Source organism: Homo sapiens, chromosome 20 (assembly GCF_000001405.40).
Source record: "Homo sapiens chromosome 20, GRCh38.p14 Primary Assembly".
In the NCBI taxonomy this organism is placed as follows: Eukaryota; Metazoa; Chordata; class Mammalia; order Primates; family Hominidae; genus Homo; species Homo sapiens.
In genome coordinates this window covers 56,893,753-56,903,511 of record NC_000020.11, presented here as the reverse complement: position 1 = coordinate 56,903,511, position 9,759 = coordinate 56,893,753, and the positions used below count along the sequence as shown (strand labels likewise).

The following is a 9,759-nucleotide window of genomic DNA, read 5'->3' as shown; positions in this document are numbered from 1 at the left end:
AGCATTTTTCAATCCTTTGCTTGTATTAGGTTTGCTGAAGTCCCATTGGCCACCCAAAGCAAGTCACATGACCAAGCCAAGATCCAAAGGGTCGACAAACTCTACCTCTGGATGGGAGAAGCTGTTAACATTGTGGCCATTTTTACCCCCAGTGAGTTCTTTTCTTCGGGGCAGAACATTGGTTCCTGGGGACTAAGTGAAATTTACAAGGTGCCCACTCTCCATTCTCTTGAATGGAATAAAACACAATTAAAAAGAAGTGTGCCCCAACTACTCCTTCATCCAGCCCTGATAGACATGGCTGCTGCAGACATGTGACCTCCTTTACTAATTGCCTGGTAAGAACCAAGAACACCCCAATGCATTTTCCCAGGATACGTTCAATTCCACACCCAATCACCTCGACTCTACAGAAGTTTTTCCATTTGGGGTAAAATCCATTTTATGACAAAAGTTTTCACATCTCAACATTCCAAAGTCACTATTGTTGACAACTAAACTAAACTTCTCACGAAATGCAACCTTATTTATCTGTCAGAGAAAAGGCATCCCTTTCAGACACCTTGACCACCTTTTCATCACAGTCTGCAGGCATCTGTCAAAATGTACTGTGCCTTATAAATATGTATAACGCCAGTTCTCATATTTTGTGCTAGGAGAGGGTATCAATGCTACAATTAATTAGTCTAATTTGCATTCAAGACTATACATAATTAATTTCTTCATTAAAAGCTTTCAACATTTCTTTGCGGAAAGTGCAAAAGATCATTGATGAGGTTTGAAAAAGCAATTAACAATAAAATATGTCAATGCTGGAATGGGGAAATGGTAACAGGACAGCCCTGTGCCATTCAAAGCCAGGATGATCCTGCGACTTGGAGATATTTGTTTTTCACCATTTCTCTTCTAGGTTGTCATTTTCAGTAAAGAAAATTGTTCTCTTTTTATTCTTCCTCCCTAGCTGCTCTTCTCCCTGATGTGGTGTCTATAAGCTGGCTCATCAGAAATACCTGACAAATGGATCATTCTCGCCTACTGTTATGGTGTTCTGATGGGAAGACTACTGGGAAAAAATCAAGACTATTCCTCCTATAACCACTGCAATAATATTGATGGTAATAATAATAACATCATCATCATCATAATGCACATTGATCAGGTGCGTGCTATTTCTCAGGCTCGAACAGCTCCTTATACATTCTTTCTTTTTTTTCTTTCTTTTTTTTTTTCTTTTTTTTTGAGACAAACTCTTCCTCTGTCACCTGGGCCGGAGTGCAGTGGCATGATCTCGGTTCACTGCAACCTCCGCCTCCCAGGTTCAATCAATTCTTGTGCCTTAGTCTCCCCAGTAGCTTGGATTACAGACCACTGCCACCATGCCTGGCTAATTTTTGTATTTTTAGTAGAGTTGAGGTTTCACCATGTTGGCCAGGCTGGTCTCGAACTCCTGGTCTCAAGTGATCTGTCCGCCTTGGCCTCCCAAAGTGCTGGGATTGCAGGCGTGAATCAGCGCGCTTGGCCCCTGTATGCATTATTTCATTTAATGCTCACAAACAGCATTCTGCAGTTACTACTATTTCTAGTTCTTATTTAACATGTTAGGACAAGGGTCAACAAATACGGCCTGTGGGCCAAATCCAGCCACACTCATCCATTTCCCACAATGGCAGAGTTGCAAGTTGTGGAAAACACTGCGTGACTCACAAAGCTGAAAATATTTACTATCTGACTCTAGTACTTTCCTGTTGCTGCTGTAACAAATCACCACACACTTGGTGGCTTAAAGCAACAAACCTATTATCGTACAGTCCTAGAGGACGGAGGATGGACGTGGGTCTTCCCAGGTTAAATTCCCAGTGTGAGCAGGGCTGTGCTCCTTTCTGGAGGCCCTGAGGAAGAATCCACGTATTTGCCTTTCCCAGCTTCTAGACATTGCCTGCAGTCCTTGGCTTGTGGCCTCTTCCTTCATCTTTGAAGCCAGCAGTGGTTGATAGAGTCTTTCTCACATTGCACCACTCTAACACTGCTCCTCCTGCCTCCCTCTTTCTTTTAAAAGGATCCTTGAGATGACATCGGGCCCACCTGGATAATCCGAGTTAATCTCCTCATCTCAAGATTCTTAATTTAATCACATCTGCAGTCTCTTTGGTCACATAACAAAATGTATGTACAGGTTCCAGGGAGCAGGACATAGACACTGGAGGGTTATTGACCTGCCACTCACAGGCCTTTTCCAGGATGTTTGCCAGCCCCTAGGTCAGGAGACTGAGATCCAGAGGGATTCTTTTAAAAAGTTAATCAGAACAATTCTCCCTCTGCTCCAAGCCCTCCGAGGGCTCCCTTCTTATTCAGAGTAAAGCCACATGCCATGCAAGACTCTTGTCAACCTGGCCCGCTATGCCCACACACCTCCCTGCCCTATTTTTCTCTTTCTCTCCTTCTTGCTTAATCTCCCTCAGTCACACAGACCTCTTTGCTCTGTCTCTCTGTATGCTGAGCACAAGCCCACCCTAGGCCCTTTGCACATGCTGTCGGCTCAGCCTGGAGTATTTCTCCTCCAGTTAACTCCTTGGCTAACTCTTTCCTTTCCATCAGATGTCTTCCCAAATGTTCTCTTATCAGATAAGCCTTCTCTGGTGACCCTCTATAAAATAGTATCTCGGCCAGGCGTGGTGGTTCACACCTGTAACCCCAGCACCTTGGGAGGCCAAGGTGGGCAGATCACCTGAGGTCAGGAGTTCAAGACCAGGCTGGCCAATGTGGTGAAACCCCATCTCTACTAAAAATACAAAAATTAGCCGGGCATGGTGTGGGCGCCTATAATCCCAGCTACTCGGGAGGCTGAGGCAGGAGAATCACTTGAACCCCGGAGGTAGAGGTTGCAATGAGCCGAGATTGCACCACTGCACTTCAGCCTGGGGGACAGAGCGAGACTCCATCTCAAAAAACAAAACAAAAACAAACAAACAAACAAAAACAGTATCTGTCTCCCTCTCCCTAGCTCCTTAACCTGTTCTGCTTTTCCCCCTGGCTCTTCCACCATCTGAAATATTGTGCAAATGTGCTGATTCATTTGTTTAGTTTCCCTGCCTGCACTAGAATGTTCTGTAAGGACAGCGATTGGTCTGTTCCGTTCACCTTTGTATTCTGAGTAGCTGGAAAAGCGTGTTGAAGACTTCTGCACCCAAGATCCTCAAGAAAACCTATTGATCATAGTTTTAGGGACTGAGCCCGGTGGCGTTAAGGCAGGTCTCGCCTGAGGAAAAATGGTTTGGAATTGAAATGGCGGGCACACCTACATGAGGGTCTTGCAGCAGGTCTTGGTGAGGAAGCAATTTAGCTAGTTGACAGTCTTATCTCCCAGAAGCACATATCTCCTGCAGCGAACAAGTCTGTTAGTTTTGCTTGGTCTTCTGTGTTGTCTAACACAGATGCAGGGAGTTCTGTTGGCTTCAGTTCTCAAATGCCTACCTAGGGTATAGTAGGTATTCAACTAACGTTTGTTGAAGAGATAGAACGAATGAACGAATGAATGGTTCAATGGATAAATGGTGGTGTGATTTACCCAGGGCCTCATAACTAGTGAGTAGAGGAACCAGGATTTGAACTGGAGGCTGCTTACTCCAGCCCATAAAGCTCTTAACAGTTCACTCACTCCAATGTCCTAACATCTGACAGCCTCTTCCAGTGGAGGGTAAGGCAGTGTTTCTTCTCCTGCACCTACTTACATTTACTCACTGATATGGTTTGGCTCTGTGTCCCCACCCAGATCTCATCTCGAATTGTAATCCCCACTAGGGCGGGACATGATGGGAGGTGACTGGATCATGGGGGCAGTTTCCTCATGCTGTTCTCGTGATAGGGCGTGACTTCTCACGAAATCTGATATTTTTATAAGTGGCAGTTTTCCCTGCTCTCTCTCTCTCTCCTGCTGCCATGGGAAGATGTGCCTTGCTTCCTCTTCTCCTTCCTCCATGATTGTAAGTTTCCTGAGACCTCCCCAGCCATGTGGAACTGTGAGTCAATTAAACCTCTTTCCTGTATAAATTACCCAGTCTCTGGTACTATCTTTATAGCAGTGTGAGAACAGACTAATACAGTTACCATTTACTTCTGAGCTATTGTCTTATTTAAAACTAAAAGACTGCAATTTTGCTGTATAACTAATGGGCAGTCAGGAACAGAATGAATCCTCAATAAATGCCAATTATTGCTGTTGTTGCTGTTAGCTGATTTCTGCATTGGTAAGGGCAGAGATGCTGCCCTGCCTTGATGGTGCCATCAAACCAGAAATCAGGAGGATCTGGTCTTGCCTCTGCTTCCCTCTGCATATCTTCTTCCTTCTTGCCTTCCCACCAATGCTTTGGTCTACACTGTGTCACAAGGGAATGTCCCAAGGGAAGATGGTGGCTCCATTTTCCTTTTCCATCATTCAACAAATATCTGTCCGTGGTCAATAAGTCACCCAGGAGAAGTTGACATTCAAGTACCTTCTCTTTTCCTTGAGGCACCCACAGCACATTTTCCCCTCCCGGTGGCCACTCATGGGAGGGAGAAGAAAGAGTAGACAGTTCTGTGCTCTCTGTGGAATGGGACAACTTCCTGATCAGAAGACTATAAATAAGCCTTTTGCCCCTCTAAGCCTTCCTTTCTCAGAATTGTTACATGGACTAAATAATAGAAAGTATACAAAGAGCTTAGCCCAGTGCCTGCAGAGTAAACATTCCACAAAATAATAACGATCAGTATTATGACTATCTAATTGTGATCACAATAGGGAAAAATGTTTTGGGTACCTGCCCATTCGTCCTCAGGCTTTCCTGAAAAGGTGACACCAGGCTTCATAGAGGATGGTTTTTTTTTTTCCAACTGTAAAAAGAATAACCAAGGAATCACAGCTACCAGGAGGAAACAATTCTGTGTTCACGTCTAAGGGAAAAAAAAATCGCTTCTCTTTGCAGGCACTGAAAATGACCAGCAGGACGGGGCGTGATGGTCTGTAATCTCAGCACTTTGGGAGGCTGAGGTGGGAAGATCACGAAGTCAGGAGTTTGAGACCAGCATGACCAACATGGTGAAATCCCGTCTCTACTAAAAATACAGAAATTAGCTGGGAATCCCAGCTACTTGGGAGGCTGAGGCAGGAGGATCACTTGAATTCCGGAGGTGAAGGTTGCAGTGATCTGAGATCAAGCCATTGCACCAAAAGAAAAAAAAAAAAAAAAAGAGAGAGAGAGAAATGTCTCAAGAGGCACAGGGCATCTTTCAAATGTAAATCAACCTTGGGGGTGTGGTGTGGCCAGAGAGGTGAGGTCAAGAGAATACTGGATAATGTCCTGTTTATGGCATAAATCAGGGCCCCCCTCATTAGAGTTTCCGTAACCATGAGGCATGCCTCCCAATTTCATAAATAATGCTACGTAATGGTTATGCATAACTGATCATTCAGAATAAACTCCAGATATTATTAAAATAACTAAATCCCCTCCACCATCACCAGAAAGAGCCTCGAGGCAGGGAGAGTCCTGGACATTTCTGGACTCTCCTGTGAAACCTGCAGGAGAGGCTGGGATTCCCTGTGGGGGCCTGACTTAACTCAGAAATGGCCCAGGGGGGACCTTGGGAAGCCCCCTGTGCTCCCAGCCTGTCTCTACCCCATCTGCTGGACAGCCCGGCCTTCCTGAAGGGCTTGAGGGAGGAACACCTTCTCCCTGGGCCACCTATGCCAGCTGCCTGCTGGAGGGAGGCTGACCTGGGAAAGCCCAGCACACACTTGGGGCCCTGCCCAGCAGCAAGTCCTCCTCAGAGCCCGTTGGGGACAAGAGCCAAGCCAGAGTGACATCTCTGAGGCAACAGCAATGTCCGTGCTTGGGCATTACAGTCTCTGCAGCTCACATCTTCCCAGAGGCTAAACTAATAGGAATAACAGCAGGAGCTGGCGGCTGATGACTGAACAAGTGCTCAGAGCCCTGGGAGAGCCGCCGTCCATCTGGGATTTCATTCCATGCAGACAATGGCCCTTTGAAGAAAGTGCTAATGTAGTCCCCATTTTCCAGGTGGTGAAACTAAGACTTACCCAGAGGCCGACACCAGCTTCCCAAAGACTACCAGTTTGGGGCAGAGGTGGGCTCTGATGTAACTGCCCCATGCACAGCACCCCTCTGCAGGTACTCATGAATAGCCACCCAGGCACACTTCTCATTTATCCCGTACCTTTCATGGCACCGCTTATAATACTCTCCACAAGCTGTCTTTGCTGTTCTTAGATACTGCAAGAATATCTATTATCATTGATATTTAACAAATTGGAATGGTATTATATAAGCAGCCAGGTTACATCTGGCAGAGCCTTGTTTTGGAGAAAAAAATTAAATGTGAAATAATAAAACACGAAAACTTACAACTTACATCTAGGGTATGAAAATACTGAGCATGAGCAGGCCACAGTGTACACCCCACGGATAAGAACCTGGAAGAACTCCTTGGCTAAGACACATGTCGCTACTCTGATTTGGGGAACATTCTCCGGTGGGGTTCTCATTCCTTCCCAAACACACAAGTTTTACAGATGAGACCATGGTTGAAGAAGGGGACTCTGAGCTCAGAGTGAAACATGGTTAATATACAGATTTCTCACCTTGTGGTAATGGGGTGCTTGTTCCCAAGGTGGGGTAAAGAAAAAATAAACCAGAATAATTAATCATTCCATAAGAACACAAATCCCTTTATTCTCTGTTCTAATAAGAGAGTGACACTCTCCCCTGCAGCATTTTTGTAAAGCGTTGATTGAAGTACCGCATCCAGGAATCCCGACTGACATGATCCATAAGCTGTTGCGCACAGGCGCTACTCACTCCATTCATTCATTCATTCATTCATCCATTCATTCATTCATTCATCCATTCATTCATTCATTCATCCATCCATCCATTCATTCATTCATTCCTTCATCTGGCAAAGATTGATTAAGCTCCTACCAAGTGCCAAGCCCATTTCTAGGAGCCGAGCGCACATCAGGGAAGAAAAAAGGCAAGAAAACTTGTCCTCATGGAGTTTACAGTTAAACAACATTTAAAAATAAAACAGTAACAAATTTGGGGAGTTAGGAATTTAAAACAACAACAACAACAACAACAAACAAGGATTACCAAAAAAAAAACAAAAACTAGGCTGGGCACTGTACACTACTGGGATTTTAGCTCACACTTGTAATCCCAGCACTTTGGGAGGCCAAGGTGCGAGGATCACTTGAGGCCAGGAGTTTGAGACCGGCCTGGACAGTATAATGGGACCCTGTTTCTAAAAAAGAAGTTCAAGAAGAATTAGCTGGGTGTGGTGGTGCATGCCTGCAGTCCCAGCTACTAGGGATGCTGCGGCGGGAGGATGGCTGGAGCCCAGGAGTTTGAGTTGCAGTGAGCTATGATCACAACACTGCACTCCACCATGGGTGACAGAGCAAGACTCTAAGAAAATTTTAAAAATAAAAAAATCAAACATAGGGTATGTCTGATAGTGGTAAGATAAAAATAAGGCAGGGGAGGGGGCTAAGGGATGCTGGGAGTTGGGGGAAACCCCTGGTGTTTTGGTAGCAATTTGAAGGAGACCTGCAGAGGAGAAGAGGAGAGGATGTGTCTGCCTGGGATGTGCAGGCAGAGGGAAGAGCAAGTGCATCTGAGAGAGAGAGCAGGGCGGATGGGCTCCAGAAACACCAGGAGGCCAGTGTAGCTACACAGGTGGGCAGAGGGCAGTGGCAGGAGATGGGGTCAGTGGGAGATGGGGACAAATCATAGGGCCCTGGGCATACTTCAAGGGCCTTGGTCTTACCCCATGTGAAGGGAGCCACTGGGGCAGCGATCAGATCCAACTTGGTTTAACAGGACTCCTCAGACTGCCAAATTCAGAATCTAAGGGGGCGCGGCAGGGAGCTTGGTAAAGGCAGTTCCGTAACTGTAACACTCTCTACCCACCTTTCTGTATAAAAGAAAACACTGTAAAATAAATTCTGTAACATTTATTCTTTGCAATACATGACCTATGTCTATATACTTTTGCTATGATTTGAAGATTTGTTCCTTCTAAGACTTAGGTTGAAATTTGATTGGCATTGTAAGAGGTGGAAACTTTAAGAGGTTAATCACCTCTTTAGTTCACAAGGGCTCTGCTCTTAGTAATGGATTAAGAGCTATTATCCAGGGAGTAAGTTCATTAGAAAAGGGCGAGTTCAAATTAGAACACATGGACATGGCGAGGGGAACATCACACTCTAGGGCCTGTCGGGGGTTGGGGGAAAGAGGAGGGAAAGCATTAGGACAAATACCTAATGCGTGCTGGGCTTAAAACCTAGATGAGGCTGGGCACGGTGGCTCATGCCTGTAACCCCAGCACTTTGGGAGGCCAAGGCAGACAGATCACCTGAGGTCAGGAGTTCGAGACCAGCCTGGCCAACACGGCGAAACCCCGTCTCTACTAAAAATACAAAAAAATTAGCCAGGCTTGGTGGCACATGCCTGTAATCTCAGGAGGCTGAGGCAGGAGAATCTCTTGAACTTGAGAGGCAGAGACTGCAGTGAGCCAAGATCGCGCCATTGCACTCCAGTCTGGGTGACAGAGCGAGACTCCGTCTCAAACAAACAAACAAACAACAACAACAAAAAAAAACCTAGATGATGGGTTAATAGGTGCAGCAAACCACCATGGCACATGTATTCCTATGTAACAAACCTGCATGTTCAGCTCATGTATCCCAGAACTTAAAGTAAAAGAATGAAAGAAAGAAAGGAAGAAAGAGAGAGAGAGAGAAAGGGAAAGGAAGGAAGGAAGGAAGGAAGGAAGGAAGGAAGGAAGGAAGGAAGGAAGGAAGGAAGCAAGGAAGGAAGGAAGGAAAGAAGGAAGGAAGGAAGAAAGGGGCAAGTTTAGTCTCCTTTTCTCTCTCTCACCCTCTCTGCCCTTCTGCCTTCCACCTTCCCCCCGGGATGGTGCAGCAAGAAGACACTTGCCAGATGTTTGCACCTTGATCCTGGACTTCTCAGCCTTCAAAACGATGAAAAATAAATGTCTTTTCTCTATAAATTACTCAATGTCAGATATTTTTTTACAGCAGCACAAAATGAACTAAGACAACATTCTACATTTGTATACATATATTACCACACGAGATTGCTTGCTCAAACCAAGGACTCTAAGACTATTTAAGGAATTTTTAAGGCTATCTTTTGCCATAGGAGATGCTTGCTTTTCTTGTCAACCTTATCATCTTATCCTAGCATTGCATGATGTCCTACAACTGCCTATACCTGCCTGGGTTTATGTGGCCTAGCCCCAAAAATGAAGGCTCTCTCCTAAACCTTTTGTAGCCCATCCAACTACAAAACAGGGGGAAATTTTTTTCTGATAAGTATTTGAATTGAAATAGACCCACTGTCTTTGCATATTAGCGAGACATTTTGCAGAGCTGGGTCATGAACAGGGCAACCCCTGGCTCCACGCAGACGCTGCCTGCCTTGTAACCATGTTCCCAGTGCTGGAACAGTGCCTGACGCAGAGTAGGCCCTTAACAAAAATTTGTTGAATGAATGAATGAATTCCTTCAAAGTAGGAGCTAAGGTGACCTTTAGAACAAATGAAAGGGAGAGAAAAACTGCAGAGTGCAGGATTTTATGCATCAGGAGTTGGGGGGGATGAAGGTGAATGAAGGTGGCCTTTGGAACCCTGTGCAGTTGAATTAAAGAACATGAAAGAGCTGCTGAAAGGGCAGGTGTG

General features: G+C 45.4%; 1 annotated feature.

The window, feature by feature from the left end:
* Positions 5,724 to 6,255: an enhancer, noted in NCBI's record as "NANOG-H3K27ac-H3K4me1 hESC enhancer chr20:55472313-55472844 (GRCh37/hg19 assembly coordinates)". NCBI's record gives its function as "activates a minimal SCP1, AML or CMV promoter by ChIP-STARR-seq in naive and primed H9 embryonic stem cells {active_cell/tissue: H9 hESC(naive and primed)}" and the evidence as "EXISTENCE:reporter gene assay evidence [ECO:0000049][PMID:30033119]".